General features: G+C 43.6%; 1 long non-coding RNA gene, 5 gene segments (V, D, J or C) and 2 further genes, besides 9 other annotated features; 6 read left to right on the forward strand and 2 right to left on the reverse strand.

Moving 5' to 3' along the window:
- Positions 1 to 14,620, forward strand: part of TRD (T cell receptor delta locus) — a 44,032-nt gene extending 29,412 nt beyond the window's left edge.
- The window catches only part of TRA (T cell receptor alpha locus), a 930,229-nt gene that overhangs the window by 830,054 nt on the left and 79,128 nt on the right, over positions 1 to 21,047 (forward strand).
- The window catches only part of TRD-AS1 (TRD antisense RNA 1), a 103,555-nt gene that overhangs the window by 72,553 nt on the left and 9,955 nt on the right, over positions 1 to 21,047 (reverse strand). The window lies entirely within an intron of this gene.
- TRDJ4 (T cell receptor delta joining 4) lies at positions 3,292 to 3,339 on the forward strand. The segment is given in 1 exon segment: positions 3,292 to 3,339. A coding segment is annotated over 1 exon segment (48 nt), but the record flags the coding sequence as incomplete, so codon positions are not given.
- On the forward strand, positions 4,732 to 4,785 carry TRDJ2 (T cell receptor delta joining 2). The segment is given in 1 exon segment: positions 4,732 to 4,785. A coding segment is annotated over 1 exon segment (54 nt), but the record flags the coding sequence as incomplete, so codon positions are not given.
- TRDJ3 (T cell receptor delta joining 3) lies at positions 7,141 to 7,199 on the forward strand. The segment is given in 1 exon segment: positions 7,141 to 7,199. A coding segment is annotated over 1 exon segment (59 nt), but the record flags the coding sequence as incomplete, so codon positions are not given.
- Positions 10,937 to 12,136: an enhancer, noted in NCBI's record as "CDK7 strongly-dependent group 2 enhancer chr14:22931886-22933085 (GRCh37/hg19 assembly coordinates)". NCBI's record gives its function as "activates an origin of replication core promoter dependent on BRD2, BRD4, P300/CBP, MED14 and CDK7 cofactors, with strong dependence on CDK7, by STARR-seq in HCT116 cells {active_cell/tissue: HCT116}" and the evidence as "EXISTENCE:reporter gene assay evidence [ECO:0000049][PMID:35650434]".
- On the forward strand, positions 10,975 to 14,620 carry TRDC (T cell receptor delta constant). The segment is given in 4 exon segments: positions 10,975 to 11,253; positions 11,817 to 11,882; positions 12,247 to 12,366; positions 13,576 to 14,620. Coding segments are annotated over 4 exon segments (1,510 nt in total), but the record flags the coding sequence as incomplete, so codon positions are not given.
- Positions 12,559 to 12,778: an enhancer, noted in NCBI's record as "active region_8116". NCBI's record gives its function as "activates an Ori minimal core promoter by ATAC-STARR-seq in GM12878 lymphoblastoid cells {active_cell/tissue: GM12878}" and the evidence as "EXISTENCE:reporter gene assay evidence [ECO:0000049][PMID:35858748]".
- Positions 17,045 to 17,053: a recombination feature (nonamer).
- Positions 17,054 to 17,076: a recombination feature (spacer).
- Positions 17,077 to 17,083: a recombination feature (heptamer).
- Positions 17,084 to 17,657, reverse strand: TRDV3 (T cell receptor delta variable 3). The annotated part of the segment is given in 2 exon segments: positions 17,084 to 17,387; positions 17,621 to 17,657. Coding segments are annotated over 2 exon segments (341 nt in total), but the record flags the coding sequence as incomplete, so codon positions are not given.
- Positions 19,236 to 19,737: an enhancer, noted in NCBI's record as "H3K4me1 hESC enhancer chr14:22940183-22940684 (GRCh37/hg19 assembly coordinates)". NCBI's record gives its function as "activates a minimal SCP1, AML or CMV promoter by ChIP-STARR-seq in naive H9 embryonic stem cells {active_cell/tissue: H9 hESC(naive)}" and the evidence as "EXISTENCE:reporter gene assay evidence [ECO:0000049][PMID:30033119]".
- Positions 19,236 to 20,237: a biological region, named in NCBI's record as "H3K4me1 hESC enhancers GRCh37_chr14:22940183-22940684 and GRCh37_chr14:22940685-22941184".
- Positions 19,622 to 19,916: an enhancer, noted in NCBI's record as "tiled region #15263; HepG2 Activating DNase unmatched - State 12:CtcfO, and K562 Activating DNase unmatched - State 8:EnhW". NCBI's record gives its function as "activates a minimal TATA promoter and a strong SV40 promoter by Sharpr-MPRA in HepG2 and K562 cells {active_cell/tissue: HepG2 | K562}" and the evidence as "EXISTENCE:reporter gene assay evidence [ECO:0000049][PMID:27701403]".
- Positions 19,738 to 20,237: an enhancer, noted in NCBI's record as "H3K4me1 hESC enhancer chr14:22940685-22941184 (GRCh37/hg19 assembly coordinates)". NCBI's record gives its function as "activates a minimal SCP1, AML or CMV promoter by ChIP-STARR-seq in naive H9 embryonic stem cells {active_cell/tissue: H9 hESC(naive)}" and the evidence as "EXISTENCE:reporter gene assay evidence [ECO:0000049][PMID:30033119]".

Raw genomic sequence — 21,047 nt, forward strand, 5'->3', positions numbered from 1 at the left:
GGGTATCCAGAGGGGGCACAACCTAGAATATCTTTGAATGGCAGCTTCTATTTTTAAGCTACCAACATTGGATTAAAGAGACTGCACTGCAAACCCAGGGCCTTTATCTTCTCAGAAGCCTTTTGATGCTTTTTTTTTCCTTGGGAGCTTCTTTCAAGTTCTTACTTACGGAGCTCCTGGGTAGCACAAAACTAACAGAACAGGTCTATACAAACCCACAGCTGTAGATCCCACACTTTAGTCCTCTGGATACAGTAAACCTGGAGAGACCACTTAGCTTCGTAAAACAGAACAGAGAAACAGGACAAAACAGCATGGAATAAAGTAATGGAAACGTGTACTTCTATGGTAACAACAGCGGCAGTGGGGAAAAGAGGCATGGTCGTTGGGAACATCTGCGTGGAAGTGGGCCATGTGATGGACTTTGAATGCAATCTATTATTGTATGTCACAATTATGTAACTACCACTTTTTGAGTGCCTACCATTTATTAGGCCACTGGGCTAAGTCCTTTAATGATTATCACTTCACTCAGTCCTCACTACGATCATGTGGAATTGAGGTACCATGACTTGCGTTTTATGGATCAGGAAACTGAATCTTAAAGGGGTTCCTCAAGATCACACAGCTTAGTAAAGTCATCATTTGAATCACCTGCTTGATGCCAGCATCTGTGCTCTTAAGAAGTCTGCTCTTCCATCAGGGCTGCAGCTAGACTAGGGCATGTGTGGAGGTTTTTCCTGCCTGGCCCAGCCTCTGCCTCAGGTCTCTAATGAGCTCCTTTTCAAGCTGAATCAGAAACAACAGTTATGCCACTTCCCTTCCAGTGCCATCCCCATCACTTCTCTCACCAAGGAAGAACTTCTGAACCCCCGCCAAAACCAGTTACCCAAAGCAGCATTCCCCTTCCCCAGGAGGAGCCAGGTGAGGCCCATCTCTCACATTACACCCCTGGAGACCCAGGGTCCCTAAATACAGAAAGGTCCAGACGATGATCAGAGCATCACTCTTTCCCTCAAGAAAAGGAGTCCACATAATTCTGGCCTCATCAAAATGTTTCTCAGATTCCAAAAGATGACCTTCCCATTCCTCCAGGCCCACTAGCCCTTGGCCTGGCATCTGGCACTCCCTCTCACTCCCAGTCAGCATCTCCCAGAACAGAGCCTTTGCACCTGCAAGTCCTTCCACCTGGAGCCATTTTCTCCCAGGGACTCACACAGTTTTCTCCCTCCCCTCCTCCAGGTCTCCACTCAAATGTCATTTCCAGTGAATCCTTTCCCTACCACCTCATGTCACTCTGAAGACCCCTTTCCCTGCTTTATTTATAGCCCTCATGTCTACTTGAATCTTTATATGCTCGTTTACTGTCTGTTTCCCTTGCTCTGTGAGAGAAAGGACTTTGAGTTGTTTCTTACTGCACCTATAAGTACACTGAAAGCACTAAACAAACATTTGTTGAATGAGTGAATGAATAAATAAAGGAATGAATGAATCAGAGAAAAAGTCAGCTATGGTATAAAGCAAAAGAAAAGAAAAATGAAGGGAAGCTGGTAACCTACAGAGCCGAGCCTGAGTCCTGGCTCTGCAACCCATCACAGGTCTCTGCCACGAAGTGCCAGGCACTGTTCTGGGTGCCAGGGAATCGACATGAACAAAGCAGGCATGAACTTCTGCCATATTGGAGCTTATTTTCTAATGGCAAAAGACAGATGGTAAACTAAATAAATAAATAAAAAATATATACAGTGCGTTAGGGTGGTAATAAGCCCTGAGAAGAAAAATAAAGCCGGGAAGGAGAATAAAGAGGACTAGTGGGAGGGACCAGCATGCAGTTTTAAACAGAAGAGTCACAGAAGGTCTCACTGGAAAGGTGACAGTGGAGCAGAGACCCGAGGAGGTGGTAAAGTGAGGCATGCAGACCTCTGGAGAGAGAGCACTTCCAGGCAGAGGGGACACAGGGCTGCCTGGGGTGTGTGGCTGGAGGAGGGGAGGGAGTGATGGGGAGAGAATGTGAAAATGAGGTCAGATTGGTGATGGGTTGGGGAGAGGGTGGCTTGTAGGCCACTGTAAGGACTACTGCTTTTGGATTCGAAAGGGAAGATTGGGGAGTAGAATGGAAGTCACACGTAACCTAGAGAAAAGATCTAGAGAGACAGAAACCTGAATACCAGTCCTAACCCACGGCCCTAAGAAGTGGGCACCCTCTTCATATCACATAACACCAAAAAATAGCTTCTGTTCTTTTTCAGCAACCTGTCCCAACAATCCTTCCTGCTTGGGAGCTCTGTTCTTAGTGCAATTACATTCCCCACGCTTCTAGTAAAATGTATCTTCTCTGAGTTTAGCCCTAATAAACATTCTAATAATTACATCGAGTCTCTCTAGTTCACAGATGCTGTATCTAATCTTATAACCTATAATACGGAAGATGTTATCCTCACTTCGTAGAGAAACCAGATAAAGCTCAGTGAGTTTAAGGAACTTGGCCAAGATTACACACTTGGAAAGGGACAGAGTCAAAACTAGGTTTTGGATCTTCTGACATCCTTCTACTTTACAACGACTAGGAACCACCCTTCATGTTAGTGATTCTCCAACTATCATCTACAGTCTTTTAAGGATTGTAAACTGATCCGAAAAATCCATATTCCCTCCTTGGTTTTTATGAGTGACATACAGGCAATCTCATAGATTCTGATGTTCACGTATAACAGAAATTAATTTAACTGTCACTTCTAAGTGTGAGAGTGTCATTGAAGCTTGCTAAAATTTGATATGCATGAATGTGTTATTAAAATGGATGGAAAAACTTAATTCTATTTTGTACTAAGCAGTTTGGCTGCTGCACAATACTTGGCAATGATGCAAAACTCTCAGATATGAAATAAATTTCCCCTAAAAGGTTGGAATGCATGGTATATATAACCTGCTAGGTCCCTGCCTCACCTAAGTGTAGCCCGAAGGTGGAGAACCACTGCTCTATGACCAACGTTCCACCCTTCTTTCCTCTTGATCAAACCAAAAAACATCTTTCCAGTCTATATTCATTCTCTCTTATTTGAGCACAAATTCTGTCAGATTGTAATATGGGCAAAAGCTTGGATTTCTATTTGATGCTAGAGTCACCTCTTGTTCCATCCTGAAGGACAACCTCTAAGACGGAGGAGAAGAGGCTAGGCCAGATGGGACAGAAAATCACATGGGATGAATATCATGTGACTTGGCAACTGGGGCTAGGGTTGCCGTAAAGGGAAAAGCAAGGTAGTTTTTGGATTAGGTATGTCAGCTGTGCCAGACCCCTGATCTTTGGCAAAGGAACCTATCTGGAGGTACAACAACGTAAGTAACCTACTTTTCCTTCTTATGACCACTATGTTTGGCAATTACATTTGTTAAATATTTTTCTAAGTCACCAGGTTAGGAAGCAGTGCTCCAGTAGGTAATATAGCAAGGGATGGCTTGAGGAACAGGAACTGAGTTTCCGATAAAATCCAGGATGGCGTCTGTGCTTCAGTGAGCCGTCTTGATCCATTGTCCTTCCTAGAGAGTTTCTATTCCCTCTACCTGGCTCCAGAAAGCTACCCTCCTCAACATCTATGCATCCACCATGTACAGATCTAGGCCACCACTGTGATCAGACTCACATGACAGCACTTCGGGGGGTGGACACAAGGTGAAATGAGGAGCACGCTGAACCAGTAAATCAGAGGCCAAGTTCCAATCTGTCCAATGCATTAACTGACAATGCATTAGCTGACAAACTCTGTGACTTAACTGCACTGAACTATAGTTTCCCTATAGTTAGATGAAGGATTTCCAAGCTGTCTTCCAGCCCTTGCCCACTATGATCCTGATTATCCCCAGACCAATTCTTATGAACAATTGGGAGGAAAAGCAAGGAAGCCCAATGGTGTGACTGTCCTATTACCCAGTAGGAATTCTGTGATTTAATGGAAAAAAAAAAAAAGGCACTGGAAAGGGAGTGAAAACTCTCCCTATGCATCCCTTAATTAGCCCTTGTGTGATCACAGAGGTTTGGAAAAATGATGCCTTGAGGCTCCTTTCAGTCCTACCATCTATTACTCTGGTTCAGGGGCTGGAAACTGGAAATTGAGTGAAGCCCAACTCAGCCACTCACTTAACCACCTTTACAGTGCCTTTGTCTGTGAGATGGATCTAAAAATATCACCTCATAGAGTTTATTTCAATAACTTTGTTGAAGTAGTATAAACACCAGCTGTTTAAGTAGGAAAGTATTTATACAAATCATAGTCATCTGTGATTATTATAGTCCTTTGGATAGACCCCAAGTCTTTTGCATCAATGGCTCTTGCTCCAACCATTGTGTCCTTCCACCTCTCGCTGAGGCACAGTCCTGTTGTGATTGATTTAGTTGAGGCTTGTTGTTACGTTTCTGCCTACAACGGCCATTTGGCAATTCTCAGCAAAATATGTGAAAATGTTATCCTGAAGCAAGATCTGGGAGTAAGAGATGGCAGGTTGAGGAGATAATAGCAGAAAATCTAAGGACTTGCCTAAGTGTCAAAACTCAGAAGATAGCAGACATCAAAAAAGCTGCCAAAATATAATGCTCAGATCTCAGAAACCCTTGCAAAGCTCTGTCTCCAGCTACACCCATTCTGCTCCACCCACCCACTTCCAAACAGATGAATTAGACTGACAGGGAGCAAATAGGTAGCAAGGTTTTTCGTAATGATGCCTGTGGTAGTGCTTTGACAGCACAACTCTTCTTTGGAAAGGGAACACAACTCATCGTGGAACCAGGTAAGTTATGCATTTTACTACAGCTCAGTGTGTATATTTCTTTAGGGTTGTTGTAGCGTAGTCCTGAATGAATGGGGCTTCTTGGGAAGTAAAGAGTTCCAAATTAGAAACCCATTGTTTGTTGCAAACAGTAGGGGTAAAATTTGGGAGCAAATGCATTAGATTTCTCTTAAGAAAATATTCTGTATATGCTTGGAAACTCCATTCTGAGGCTTGGTATTCATAAGTTTTTTACAACTACTGAAAAAAAGCCCTAGGTCAGGCTTTTAGTTTTGGGCTCCCTAGAACCAGGAAAAAGGCAAGCTGTGGTTGAGGAGGGTCTCTCCAGTATTTATGAGGGATAAAAGTCATGGTCACAGTGTAGGAAGAGGGAAGGTTAGAAAGAAAAAAGTATTACGAAAGAAGGAGTTTTAAAAAGAGGATCTTTCTCTCCTCTCTCTCTCTCTCTCTCTCTCTCTCTCTCTGGATAAGAAGCCAATCTTGCCCTTGTCACTTTTTTCTGAACTTGCATTAAACCAACATAAATGGTTCAGATTAAATGGTTCTCAAGGTCCCATCCTGGCCTGGGTCTGCTGAGAGCAGTTATGAGCTCACCTCTCCTGTTAGCCCTGAAACTGGGAACTTTGCACAATGGTTCAGGAGCCTGTATCCAATGTAGAAACACAGCCACCAACTCCAGGACAATAGAGAAGTCGTGGTCCCCTACTGGAGACATTGTCTACTGGTAGCCTACTCCAATGTTTGGAAATCCAGGGGCTATATTCTGGTAGTTTGGGTAGCTGCCAACAGTCAATCACTAAGACCAGTCCAGAGAATAGCCTTCAGACACCTTCCAAAATGCCAAGTCCATTGGGAGAGCCATTACCTCTTACATGATTAGGTATTGATTTTGTTTATTCAGAGGAAATAAATAAGTAGGGAATGGTACATGAATGTGGCTAGGCTATCTGACCAAAAGTCCAAAAAGTGACTGGTGCTGTCAACATGGTCTCTGCCTCTCAGAGAATAATATAAACTTATAGGGATTCTCCACTGCCTGTTGCCTCCAGGGAAATGGTAGAATTTGGTGAGTTTTCTTATCTTTGAGGGGAGAGAGACTAGAGCACTGAAAAGGAGGGAAACAGAATCATGTCGTAGCTGATTGTAGTCTGATTGATGTTTAGCAAATTGCATCTGAGCAAAAACTACTGTGTTTCATTTTCCCCTAAAATCATTTCCACTTGAAATTTGGAATTATCTGCAGTGTTAGAATCAAATCTTTGAGGCTGTGCCTTTGGGAGTCTTAGGGAAGAAGGAAATTGATGAAACTGATGCTTAGCCCCTCTGCCAGGATGCTGACCATGCTCCCCGATGACACTCCATTCGCTTCTCTGGTTTTCTTCTCCTGCAGTGGTGAAATGTAATATGATGATGTGAAGCTCAGGTAGGGGATGTGAAAATTTTCAAATCAAACCCCAAGTCCTTAAAGCTTTGACAGTGAATAATGGCCCTACACAACTGTCATTCTCTTTTGCCTGGCTCTAGCCCAACGATCTTGATTTTTGGTGATGAGGCAGAGTAATTCACATGGTCTTTATGTTACATTGCACATGATGACTATATACTCCTGAAACTTATATCTGGATCCAGAGTCAGGAGAAATTATAAAACAAAAATAAGCAATGCAAAGCAAGCACTGGCTTCTCTGACCTGTGTCCATGACACACAGCACCAGTGGGCTCCCTGAGCAGTGACCAATTTCTTGTTCAACCCTCAGGTCCTTAGAAAGCCTTTCGCCAAGCTCAGGGAATTAGAAAGCAGGTTCGTTATTATTGTGAGACTCAGTCTGAGTGATGGGGGAAATTAGGTTTCTAATCAAAATTCTGTACTTGTGACCCAAGAGAATGGAACCAGAGTATAATAAGAATGGAAACTCTTTCTATAACCCTCCTCTCCTCAACCTAACATTTGTTGTAAGAAAGGTCAAGTTAAGTGCCCCATCCCTACCCTCAAGCTATTGTGTTCTTCTTGGATGCCCCTCTCAATAAACTGGAAGTTAGATTTTCCATCATGAAGGCAGCTATTTGTCACCTGCCACCCTCTTCTCTTGCTCTGTCTCAGCCCTGCCCTAGTATCTCTTGGATGGGGATATCACCCTCACATCTCTATCAAGCAGTTCAACTATTATTAGCTTCAAAGGGAACTGAGACTCTGTGTACTCAGCCCCTTGGTCTCATCAAGAGCAGCTTTGTAGTTCTCTGAGCTGTGGGGTCTCTAGGCTGAGAACTGAGGCTGGGGAGGCAGGGCACAGATGTTACAGCTCAGGCCCCAGGGCCAGCTCCAGGCTAGTTACCTGTGAGGCACTGTCATAATGTGCTCCTGGGACACCCGACAGATGTTTTTCGGAACTGGCATCAAACTCTTCGTGGAGCCCCGTGAGTTGATCTTTTTCCTATATTTCTGGGATAATTTGAGTCCTGGCACTGGGGCTGCAATCCAGTTTGCATTATAAATTATAACTAGTAAATGAAATTATAACAAGGAGACAGAGTATTACAGATGTGAAATAGGCCAGAGTGAACACACTAGACTGAGTCACTTAAGTAGCTCTGTAACTCTATTTATTTTAATATATATACTCTATATTAAAACAATAGCTCCCATTTATTTCTGAAATCTTCAGAGCAGCCCAAAAAACACAAAGAAATCTAGAAGAACTACACTAAGAGTTGGAGCATTCAGGTGCAAGGGAGACAGTGGGAGGGATACTTCAGCCCCAATTCCTCAGGAAGCTGCTTCATCTCTGCACATCCCTTTGGCTAAGCTAACTAGTATGCGTGCCTCCTTGCAAACTGAAAACAAGTGTCCTACAGCTTGGAAGATTCTGGAGAAAGGTAGTTAGCATGGTCAGAGTAATTAGGTAGAACAAACTTTTATTTCAGGGTTTAAGTTAAATCCCATATTGGCAGAAAGTCTTGAAATTCTGAGTGACATTTATTACAGTTGTTGCAATTCTTAGGGGATCAGTAGGACTAGCTATGAGAATCTAAAACATAGGTGACTTCTAAGTTTATAAATTAAGAAAGACTGTTCAGGAATGGTACACACTTTTTTGGTATTGTTTACCAGCACATAAACTTAGCAATGTATTGGTGTTCATAAAAAGAGAAAGTCTGACAATAAAGCAATTTTCCAAAGAAATAACACTTGAAACACATGTTGCAATGTAATTATATTTGTGGACTAAGAAAAAAAGACTACAAGTTCTTCAAAGATAAACGATTAAATCTTTAATCTAAATTCTGGACTACAATTTCATACAGCTTCACGTCTGGGTTTAAGTCAAATACAAAATAGACTAGGATGCATATGGCAACTATATTGAGTGCACTCCAGTTTTTAAAAAGGTTTAATTCAGTCAGACACCCATTTCTTTGGTTACCAAGATGCCAAACAATGGATTCTATAAGACACTTTCTTTCAAACAATCGTTTTGAAAATATAAACATTAATGTAGAAAGAGGGATTCAGAAAAATGTTTTATCAAATCAATGTATTATGCTCTATCTGAAATGCTGACTAACAGAGTCAGAGCACAATATCATAAGTGCATGACCTTCTTCAGACATCTGTCTTTTCAGTTATATTGTATTATTCAAATTACTCAAACCCAATCTCCCCAGCCCAAAGTGATGATTTGACAACTGCCTGATGAATTTAGCTTTTAAAATTCTAGCAAGCCTTAATTATCCAACTAAATCAGACCAGGATTAAGAGATACTCTTAAATAAACAAGGAGATAGGGTGTTTATTTTATGGACAAGTTTCTTTTGTAACTTGTAACTCCCTTGAAAGTCAGCCAGAGTATGTCTCAAACCAAAGTCAAGATAGTGAGCAAGAAGTGTTGCACTTATGAAGGGAGGTGAGTGAGCAATGCATGTGGTTTCCAACCGTTAATGCTAGAGTTATCACTTTCTGTTATCAAGTGGCTTCAGCTATGCAAGGAAACCAAACAGGGGAAGTTTTCTCAAGCAGGTTGAAAGCAGGTTCCAAGAAAGCCCTTTGAAAAATGTCTAATCCTTTCAATTGTCTAGAACTAAAGCCAAAAACATAAGGAACCAGATTCTTAGGAATAAGTTTCCTGCCCTGAGTGACTGAAACAGAATCAGTCTTTTAGTTGAGCTTCTCAGCAGAGGAAACGGGGAGAATGATGATGGTAGTGATGGGGGGTTTCTCTGAATAGTTGATTTTCTAGGAAAACCATGATCAACTTTGGTCCATTTACAAAGCCGTGATCAGCAGAAACTTCCTGACTAGCAATCGCCCCCTCTCAACCAGATATAACCAGTTGATCTGGCAGTAGCTCTGCTGCTGTGAACCTCACAGCTGAAGCCCAAATTCAGATTCAGGATAAAGCATTAGAAAAATTATTTATTTTTATACAGAAAATTAGCCAGGTGTGGTGGTGTGCACCTGTGGTCCCAGCTACTCGGAAGACTGAGGCTGGAGGAGAGTCTGAGCCAGGAGGCAGAGGTTGCAATGAGTTGATATTGGGCCACTTCACTCCAACCTGGGTGGAAAAGACCCTGTCTCAAAAAAAAAAAAAAAAAAGGAAAAGGAAAATTACTTATTTTCCATTTACACATTCATTACCAACTTTCTGTTCAGCAACACCTAATGTCTTGATTATAGACCATAGTAGGTAAAAGTACACTGGAATTCAATGTATTTTTCATTTGATATCAAGAAGCAAAATTCACCTAAGTTTCAAATACTAAGGGCCAAATTTACAGGAGCAATTAATATTAAAAGTCAGCATTAAATTTAGGATTGAAAAATGTATCTTGATCATCATTCACAGGTTGGTTGTGTTTCTTGGTTTCAGGTATTAACAGGGCTCTTTCTTTAACAGTTATTTGAAGATAGCCTAAGAATTTAAGTCCCCATGGACACAACATTTATCACAATTCAAAAACTTCAGTGAGGCACTGTGTGAAAGAATCATCACTACCTCTCTCAAAGCTTCAAGACTTGTGGTCTTAAGGAAAGAAAAGTATGCATGTACAGGGTGGTAGTCCAAAGTGAGGCACAAAAGAAGAGAAGGCCAGGAGGGAAGCCAATCCTGGGACCAACATTCCACAGTTCCTCTTAGATTAAAACAAGAATGAACGGGCTTCAATTGGTTTTATTTCTTTAAGGACTTCCTGAAAATGATCATTGTTATCCTCTGATTAAAGACTCAAAGGAAACTATACAGTAGTCAGTCCCCTACAGAAGAATGAGTATTCACCTAAAGGCAGAAACATGTACCACCTACCTTCAGCAGATCCCTTTCCACCCTTTCCAGCAGATCTGGAAGGGATGGCACCCTTCCGGGACCCCAACACTGCCATCCTCAGAACCTCTGAGCCAGTTATGCAGTCCTTCTCAGACCCTCGATTCTTTAAGTGACAGAATGCATAGCATGAGCACCTGCCCTGATCTACCATCCAAGGGCCCATGCATTTACAAAAAACCAACTGGTGCAGAGAGATATTCAGCCTGACCTAGATTGTCCAGAGGATTGATTAATAAAACACAGATAATCGGCTGGATGCAGTGGTTCACACCTGTAATTCCAGCACTTTGGGAGGCCAAGGTGGGCGGATCACCTGAGGTCGGGAGTTCGAGACCAGCCTGACCAACATGGAGAAACCCCATCTCTACTAAAAATAAAAAAAATTAGCTGGGCATGGTGATGCATGCCTGTAATCCCAGCTACTCGGGAGGCTGAGGCAGGAGAATCACTTGAACCCGGGAGGCGGAGGTTGCAGTGAGCCGAGATTGCACCATTGCACTCCAGCCTGGGCAACAAGAGTGAAACTCTATCTCAAAAAAAAAGAAAAAGAAAAAAAAGAAAGAAAAAGAAAAAAGCCACAGATAATCGAAACCCAGATGATCCAGAAACTTCTTTGTAGTTGTCATTTTCCATCTGTGCTTCCAGCCCTATCTCCTAGCAGCTCCTAACTGGAAGTCAAACTTACTGCCTTTCATTTCTGCTCCCCTTGCCTGTCCTTTCACAGAGGTGGTAATAAGCCCAGGTCACTAACAGGATGCATGGAGGTCTGGATTGTAGTGTTTGGCTCCAGGGTAATCGAGGTAATCACCACTGTTTAACCCCCACAAAGTTGTGAATAATCATCTCACCTAATAAGTTGATTATATTTGCAGGAAGTCAGCCTCATACCAAACCATCCGTTTTTGTCATGAAAAATGGAACAAATGTCGCTTGTCTGGTGAAGGAATTCTACCCCAAGGATATAAGAATAAATCTCGTGTCATCCAAGAAGATAACAGAGTTTGATCCTGCTATTGTCATCTCTCCCAGTGGGAAGTACAATGCTGTCAAGCTTGGTAAATATGAAGATTCAAATTCAGTGACATGTTCAGTTCAACACGACAATAAAACTGTGCACTCCACTGACTTTGAAGTGAAGACAGATTCTACAGGTAGGCCATTTCTAGCTTCAAGGAGCTGGAGATTATGGGGAACAAGAATTGGGTGAAAGGGAAGTTAGAGATGTAACTGTGGACAAATCATTCTCAGTATAGCATCATGCTGGAAATAAGACTTAGGCCCAACTATAGCCTGCCATTGGCAGGGGAGGGAAATGCTTGTCATCCCTAAGATGGAATCTAAAATAAAGCCCATCTTATTTCTTCCTCATCTCTCCTCTTTACCTACCACTGTCCCCTTCATACTAGACTCTGGGATTGAAAGTCCTCGTGCATTCTAATCCAGTGCTAAATTCCAACAAAGGGCAATGCGGCCTATTGTGGGGCTAAGAATCCTAGTTCTTCCCGCATATTGGTGTGCCTGGATGTTGACCTCATGGTACAATGAAAAAGGCTAGAATGGGAAGCATGTTGTATAATTAGCTATGTGACCTTCACCAAGTCACATCCTCTGGTCCTCAGTTCACTCACCCAAAGTCTCCTCCAGTTTTAAAAGCCTACAATCCTGTGAGCCTCTTCATTCCCAATGTAACCCTGACCACTGCTGTTTGTTCCAGATCACGTAAAACCAAAGGAAACTGAAAACACAAAGCAACCTTCAAAGAGCTGCCATAAACCCAAAGGTTAGTTCAAATCAAAGGGCCAACTTCAGAATCAAGGGTTAAAGCAAACTCTGTAATTGTCCACTGGGGCCAAAATGTATCAGATTTCAAAAGAAAACACAAACCATGCTGAGCCCAGTTGGTTCTGCAGAGCCTCTGACTCTCCCAGCAAGGCTTACCTGGCTGTCGGCATCGGTTTCCCAAGCTTGCCTGGCTGGGTGTCAGCAGCAGCCTAAGGTCTCTGACGGCTATCTGGCACCATGCTGGACTTGCAGGCCAGAAAGAACTAGGCAGACTTGGGGCAGGCTAATATCAGTGTTGCAGGCCCAATTTCTGGAAGGGAATTTAATCTCTCCCTGAAGCCACCCTCTTCACTCTTTTTCAGCCATAGTTCATACCGAGAAGGTGAACATGATGTCCCTCACAGTGCTTGGGCTACGAATGCTGTTTGCAAAGACTGTTGCCGTCAATTTTCTCTTGACTGCCAAGTTATTTTTCTTGTAAGGTAAGAATTAGCCGCTTCTTATTCCTATCTCTACCCACACCATGCTGCACATGGGGAAAGGGGATTTAGAAATGGCTAAGAAACCAAGAAGCATTGGAAAGGGAAAATAGAGACATACTTAGAATTAATAAGGTAGGCTATCTCAGCTACTCAGCAAAACAGCACCCCATTTCCTGTTATCCTTTCATTTTGAGTCAGACTGAAACCCATTAGGTAGTATAATGTACTATTTTTCTAATATACCAGAGAATAACCCTCACTTTCACTCCAGGGAGAAAACTGAAGATAAATAAGGAGAATTCATCTTCTTTACTGCTATTTTGTTCATCGACCAAGAGACCATGGGTTATTTGCAAGGCCATAAGTAAAGCTTTGCCTGAAGACTATCCAGAGGAAGCAGAACCTATCTTTGTCCTGATAAAGGGAATGCCAGCTCACACTCCTTAATCATAGGACCAGCCTGTCTATGTGTGGATCAGCCTGTCTTTGGGATGAACCTACACACAGCATTAGTAGTGAACAGCTCACTATTAGCTACTCAGGATGCATACACAGTTAGGTTTGAGATGTCAATTATTTGCCTGTTACTTGCATTCCGTTCTCAGGTAATCTCATACACGAAATTGAAACCAGGGCCTGGGTTTGCGTGTGAGGCTTCTCCCCCTCACTCCTTCTCCAATACTCACAAATGCTCATCAACCCCAGCTTCTGTTCTAGGAACAACCCTAGACTCAGAGTACTTGACTGATCTGACCCAGACAGTAAACATACCCAGTCATCTCAAAAAGGGGGTCCAGCTCACCTGTTATTTTACTAACAGTCCCAGGGACACAGGCAGTGTGGCTGGGTAAAAAGAGAGCTATACTAAGAGTCAGAAGATCTGGGTTTTATCCTGATTTTGACACTAACTTACATGTTACCTTAGCCAGGTTTCTTCATCTCTCTGGGCCTGGGTTTTTGCATCTGCAAAACAAATGAGTTAAAAAAAATAATAACCAAAGGAGAACAAAAGAGTCTCATGACTTGTGCCAACACTGATAGCTGAACTAGCTGAGCTATTGCCATGTGTACATGGAAAGTGAGCCACAATAGATTAGTGATGTCTGCAATGGTACAGTATAGCAAGTACCGGCCAACCCCAGACTACATGACCCCTACGATTCCTTCTAGCACTGGCAGTCTATTCTATAACAACTTTCTTCACTGCAGGCTGACTGGCATGAGGAAGCTACACTCCTGAAGAAACCAAAGGCTTACAAAAATGCATCTCCTTGGCTTCTGACTTCTTTGTGATTCAAGTTGACCTGTCATAGCCTTGTTAAAATGGCTGCTAGCCAAACCACTTTTTCTTCAAAGACAACAAACCCAGCTCATCCTCCAGCTTGATGGGAAGACAAAAGTCCTGGGGAAGGGGGGTTTATGTCCTAACTGCTTTGTATGCTGTTTTATAAAGGGATAGAAGGATATAAAAAGATATAGGACTCTTTTTTTACTCCTACAAGTGATACACTTTGAAAATGATGTTTTGTTCCTTTTGACTTTCTTTACCTTTTGAAGTAGAAAGTGGGAACCAACAGGTTCACAGCTTCATTCCTCATGAGGCAAATAGGCCTTGGGAGAAGAAGAGCGGGTGCCCTTTTATCTAAACATGGAAGGCTCTGCTCAACTGAGCACTAGATTTGCTACAAACCAGCATCATCTTCTTCCTCCTGTCCTCACGGCTTGTCCCACCCTCTATGTTCACTTCAGGAGCCACACTAGAGATTCTGCATGGCGTGGAGGAGGACAAAGTTTCAGCACTTTCTGCCTCTCCTAATACTTTACAAATGAGATTACATTTGAATTTGCTAATACTTTATGAGCAGGCAATGAGGTTTCCAAAATCTCATCTAAATACTCTCCAATCTATTAGCAAAAATCAGAGTAAAATACAGAGGAAAGGCACTGCTTTCTGTTAATTGATTTAACATGCATGAATTAGCTCCCTCTGAGTTCCAGGCACTATGCTGAGAGTACAAAGAAGACACAAGTCTGCTTTCAAGCAACTCACTGTGAAAGTGTTTTTGAAGGGAGGAACAGAAATGAGACCCCTATCTTTCCCTATAAAAACAACATTTTTACTGTCTTTTGCCTGCCAATCTGTATTTGAAACCATTGGACACTGATTCTCTGGCCTGGGACTTTGGCATTGATGGTTTTCTGCCTTTCTTCTCAGCCTCTGCCTCTATTGCATTTATTAAACTGCATTGTGTGCACCTCGCCTCTGGCTTTACTCTTTGCAGATCACCACAGGGGGAAACTCAGCTCTGTGAGCTCACTATTAGTCAGCCAAAAGCCAAATTGAACTTATGGGTCACACTGCACTTTCCTGAGCCCCAAGCCTACAGAGGCCCTGCCTTGGAGACCCAGCCTCGGGTTTCCTGCTGCCTCTGCTGATGCCGCTGTTACAGCAAGAGCAACAGCAGCACCTGCAGCGTGGCCAGTGACCTCTGCTACTGCCACCCAGGAAGGCCACAGCCTTTTCCAGGAGCACTGCTCAGGTGCAGAGCCCTAGCAACCCATTATTGTGGTTCTCTCAGCACCTATGTGGAGCATCAAGTCGGGGGTTATGAGGTTACAAGTGAAAGAGTGACTGTCGCCAACAACTCCACTTGCCATCCCCGACAGCAAACTCCCCCATCATGTCTACTACACCTTGTATGTGTAAGGAATGCTGATTTCCAAAACATTCACGAGTTACCTTGTGTAATATTAGGGTGTTTCCTCTGAAGTTGTTAGGAACAAAAAGATCATATTCTCATTTTTCAGATAAAACAAAAATGCCCTCTCCTCAAAAAAGTATGTATCATGTCCAGAGTCATTCAGTGAGGCAGGGATATTGCTGGGAGCAGAACCAAGGTCTCAAGATTTTCAGCCCAAAGTTCCTGCTATAAGAACATACTGCATCCCCAAATGAGGACAAGATGTCAAAGTGAGTATCAGCTAGAATGAACTTCAGGATTGTCCCATATTTAGCATATAAATGAGCCACCCTCTAGCCCACTATGCCAGAAACAAAAAAAATCCTGGCATATCACAGGACCATGAATTTCCCACACCAAAAGGAGCCTCCAGGGAAGATTTAAGGCAAGAGCCAGGAGGGATTATGGCTGCCTTCTGATCTGGGGCCATGATATGTGAACTGTGAGATGGACATGTGTCACACTCAGTAGGCATTAGAACAGAAGCCCCAGAAAGCCAAGCCACATGCCCAAGGTCTTTGGCTCCCTCATCCCCTGTTCTTTCCATTGTTCTATACAGTGGCTACTCTTGTCCACTGTTTCTGAAGAGCACATAAACTGCTGCCCAAACCACTCACTGATAGAGCCACCTAGGGTACAGCTGCAGAAGAGAGCCCTGGAAGTGTAACGCTGCATCTCTGGGCCTGTCATTATCCAGGTATACGACTTTGAGAATGTCCACCATGTCTCTGGACTGCAGTGTAGTTTCTATAAAATAACATGTAAGGCCTCTTCTATTTCTAAGATTATATCTAATAACTCTAATAGTTCTATTAAGGCAGATAATTCAAGAGAAGAGGAAGGAGGGACTGATTCCCAGGGACTGAGGGTGTGTATCTATTTCAACATCACATAGTCAGTTTGCCCCAGAGGAAATTTTCTCTGCCGGAGACACCACTGAGCTTCAAACTCAGGGACTTGGCAGCTGGAATTCTGGAAGTCACAACTTTCCAGGAGTGCCTCAGTGCTCTGCAGTGAAAAAAAAGAAAATGTTCTCCAAATAAAATAAGTAAAATGGAGGTGTCAAAGAACATCAAGGAGAAGGTGGCTGGATATAAAAAGATGCGGGAAAAAAAAAGTAAATTGGTGAAAAGTCTTTTAAGTAAATAACTTTGTGTCTAACTTAATTTTTTTTTTTTTTTTGAGACAGAATCTCGCTCTGTCACCCAGGCTGGAATGCAGTGGCACCACCTCGGCTCACTGCAACCTCTGCCTCCTGGGTTCAAGCGATTCTTGTGCCTCAGCCTCCCGAGTAGCCGGGACTACGGGCGCGAGCCACCACGCCCGGCTAATTCTTGTATTTTTAGTAGAGACGGGTCTTCGCCATGTTGGCCAAGCTGGTCTTGAACTCCTGGCCTCAAGTGATCTGCCCGCCTCAGCCTCCCAAAGTGTTGCAATTATTGGCATGAGCCACCACATCTGGCCCTAATTTAATTCTGCAATGAAAACAGATCAATTCATAATAATGGATAAATGGTGGTGGTGACTAAAATAAAGACACGGCTGACGGCCTCGCCTTAGATGGGCCCTTTACCTGCACCTGAACCTGCATCCTGAAACACTCACAGAAAATGCAGCACAGGCTTGTCAAGCCCCTTTCTGTATCGGGACGACCAGGGCACCAGGGGCACGAAGACAGCGCTCTGTAAACATGCAGTTCTCCTTTGCCTACCAGGAGTCATTCAGGTGGCAAGGGCCCCGTGAGTCAGAAGTGGGGAGATACTCTGCTTCTCTGAAGCCAGGGTGCTCCCCTGGATCTGACCAGGCCATTTATTTCTCAGAAGACACTTTAGGTCACTTCTAAAGGCCAGGCTGGAACCCAAAATGGCTAAGAGAAGGATGCCAAGTCCCAGACATGACCTGCCCTAAGAGGCAGCTCTGCTGAGCTGTGCCCCAGGAGTTTGTGTTATGACTTCCTGGGCACCTGCATCATAGTGCTAAAGGCACAGTAGTAAGTGGCACTGTCTTCAGTCCTTACTGGAGAGATCACCAAGTGAAAGGCTTTCTGGGTCAGAATGTGTTTCACAGAAAACCGTCCTTGAGTAAAATCTGCACCTTCTGATCTGCTGTTATCCCCATAAAAGACAAACTGAAAGGAATAATCTGGCCTTATCCGGTACCAGAATAAATCTGGATTTGAATATACAGTGTCGTAAGTGCAGAGCAGTACCACCTCACTGCCACTCGCCACCGTCTGGTCCGGGGAACTCTGGGTTACTTTGTCACACAGCGTGCCCCTGTCTGGGAAAAAGACAATGAGGAAATAGTGAATTCTGCACCCCCCAGACAGTGAGTACAGCACATGCCTAGCCCAGAAGAACTCAATGAGCAGAGGCAAGAGAAGGACACAGAAATAAAGCCAAAGGCAGCAAATAACCAAAAACCAAGAGTGCAAGAGAAAAAGCCTTCAAGAGTCAGAGAAGGAGAAATGGGGTTATAGAGCAAGTGGAATGTAAACAAATGAAACTACTTACAGAAAAACAAAAAGCTAAAGCCCACAGTAAGAATCATCTTTTCTTCATATCAGGGCAGAGGATATACAACAAAACAGGGTTCCTAAGATCTCAGAGACTATCTGACGGTTCTAATGAAAGAAGACGGGAGGAAAACAAGAGGAGACTGGCAGCGCTGACGGTCATGTGACTGATTCAGCTGTGACTTCTAGAGGCAAATGCGCTCAGCCAAGGAAACTGCTATTGCTATTATGATTTTGGCCCCAATCCATCTTGAACTAACACATATGACAATGAAAAATGGATTACTTTTAAAAAAGAAAAGAAAAGAAAAACAAAGGAAGGGAGAGAGAGAGGAAGTGAGGGAGGAAAGAAAACTGCAAGACTAATGATGGCGTTCTTGGATATCCAACTGCTACAAAAGTAGTTCACTCTCCATTTCTGTATCCTCTGGTCACAGACTGGTGTACTAGTCCATTAATCACATGTCGTACTTTGAGTGACACTGTCTCATAGCATCTAGCACGGCTCCACACACTTTGTTCTATTCAATAAATGGAATAAGTGAAAGAGTACCTTGGACAACTCCCTTACTCCTCTGTGTAAAGAGGAAGGAAAGGGGGTTGGACCAGATTCTTTCTAAAATCTGTCCTAGACCTGAATTCCAGAAATCTTTGATTTCAGATGCTTGAGGGAGTGTCCTGATCCTAAGTGCTTCTTGCACTTCACCAGCTTGACTTTCCATCTCTCACTGGGCCCACTGCAGCACACACTTGGCTCCAGCTGGAAAATCCTGAACAGAGCTTCCCGGCAGGTGAACTGCCATAAGTGGGTTATAAGCTTGCTGAGATAGTGTTCAGAGTGCCCATGTACCTGGGGTGGCTGGAGCCCCTGAGCCAGCCCCTCCCAGTCAGGAGCACTACAAATACAGTTTTCCATGTAAGCCATCAATATGACAACAGTTGGGAGGCACTGCTGTGAAAAACAGAACACTGACTAACTCACTCCCCAAAATGCAGGAGTGTTCCTAGGAGTATTTCTAGAAGGTCCTTCATTTCCCTTTTTCCCTACATCCACTTCATCAGTAAGACCTGTCAGTTCTACCATGAAAATATATCTCCAATCCATCTACTTCTTCCATCTCCACTGCAACCACCTTCTATAAACACCATCATCTCTTACAGGGACTGCTTCAATAACCCACTAACTGGCCCCCTTGCTTCTGCTCTTGTCCCTGGACAATCCATTCTCCAGTTCTTCATAAAATGTACATCAGATGATGACAGCTGGACCTCCTTCCCAGGCCTGTAACATCTGCAAACGATCTGGCCCTTGCTTCCTCCCCAGCCTCACCTCACATCTGCTCCTTCTCTTTCTTCCCTTCAGCTGCAGTGGCCTTCCTTCTCGTCCTTTCTATGTCTCTCTTTTCTAGCTACCTGAAACTCTGTCTCCAATTTTTCACAGTTCTCAGCTCCAACTAAATTAGTCACCCATGCCACCCATAACCAACCTCAATTACATCTCTGTTCTTATTTTCCCTCACATCACTATCTGAAATCATCAGATTCATACATGTTTATTTTATGTCTCTCCCATCTCACCTCTCCCCTACACACACACACACACACACACACACACACACACACACACACACACACACACACGATAATATAAACTATATGAGGGCAGGGAGCTTATCTTTTCACTGATATGTCTCCAGCCCCTGGGCTTGTGTTGACCGCATCACAGACAATCAGTAAATATCTGTGTAAAAAAAAGGAATGCAATTTCTTCACTTAAAAACTCACCATTCACCTAGATTTAGGAAATAAAAATACAAGACACCCAGTTAAATGTGCATTTCAAATAAACAACAAAAATTTCAGTAATACGGGTAGCTGGGACATGCCATATTTGGAACACATTTATACTAAAAAAGTATTCATTGTTTATCTGAAATTCAAATTCCACTGGGCATCCTGTGTTTTATCTGGCAATGCTAGGCATGCAGAATACCAAAAGTAAGCACCAGGCAGGCCAGAGTCCCACCATGAGCATCTTCAGGGCCCCTGGATGTGGAAGAGGGATGTTGAGGGCCCAGGGGCTGCCTTGCCGGTGCATTGGCTGCCCAGGCCTGCACTGCCGCCTGCCGGCAGGGGTCCAGTCCACGAGACCCAGCTCCCTGCTGGCGGAAGTCCATTTCAGAGCTTCCGGTTCTCCCAAGTCCAAGGATTATGCTCACTCCCCACCCACAGTCTCTTAGTGTCTGTCCCTGCTCTAAAGATGTTGTCTGGGCTTGATATTAATATGAGAGCTGACTGTTCCCTTCCTGATCTAGACCATAACCATCTTCAAGTTAAATTGCTCCTCCTCTTCTAACTGCCCAACCTCACCCACGTCTGACCATACCCAAGCACAGAGAAGTGGGTTTAATGGACCTTCACACAGAAGGACACATCCTCTCCTATAATGCTTTACATGGAAGGTTCAGACATAACCTGAGTCCTGCTTGGGGTAGCATCATCATGACTCTCTTGCCCTGGTGTCCTTGCAATATTCCTTGAAAGGCATCCCTCCCCCAAGGAAGGGCAGGCACTGAGCACAGCAATGCAGTATAATGGCTAAGAGTGGGATCCCGGAGCCAGCCTGCTTGGGTTCACATCAGCTCCGGCTTTTACCAGTTGTGTGACCTTAAGCATGCCCTAACTCTCCAAGTCTCAATTGCTCCATCTGCAAAATGGAGATAGTAATAGCTTTTCTCACAGGACTATTGGAAAATTTAGTGAGGTCACACATGCAATACACCCAGCAGATAAATGATCTATGAATGTCAGGTATTGCTGTTGCATATTTAATTTAAATGTTGCCATTTTTATTAAATAGACATATGAATAGAGTTCCTAAGAGTGTTACTCTCATCAATGCTGCTCAGGGAAAAGATGCTGAGTAAATCTAAATTTTAAAGTTGCAAAATCTAGCAAAAGATTGTTGATATGTTGTATCAATCAATGGTTAAAAAAAAAAGACTGACATCTTTAATTTGCTTTCAGTGCTGCAAGCATGTCCTAGAGCTCCGTGATCCCCTGAGACCTGTGATCCTCTGAGACATGAGCCAGCTGTGCTCTCCCCAAGTCCCTAAGAGCATTAGGAGCATGAGAAGTGAGCATTCCAGCCCCTTGTTCTTATGTCTTCCAAACATTGTAACAGGCTTGTTCATGAGAGGCCACAATGCATGATCAAGTGACCCCACCACTGAGGAATAGGAGAAAGCCTCAAGATTCAGTGGCCCACTAAGGACGTATTGCCCTAAGTTTCTCCAACCCATCTTCCTATTGGCATCTGGAGACTATGCCTCTTCCCAAGGTGCTGAGGGTGCTGCAGACCCCACTTGCCCTGCAGGCCCCACCCGCCCACCAGCGAAGAAGGGCTGCCTTTCATTAGCCCAAAA

Source organism: Homo sapiens, chromosome 14 (assembly GCF_000001405.40).
Source record: "Homo sapiens chromosome 14, GRCh38.p14 Primary Assembly".
Lineage (NCBI taxonomy): Eukaryota > Metazoa > Chordata > Mammalia > Primates > Hominidae > Homo > Homo sapiens.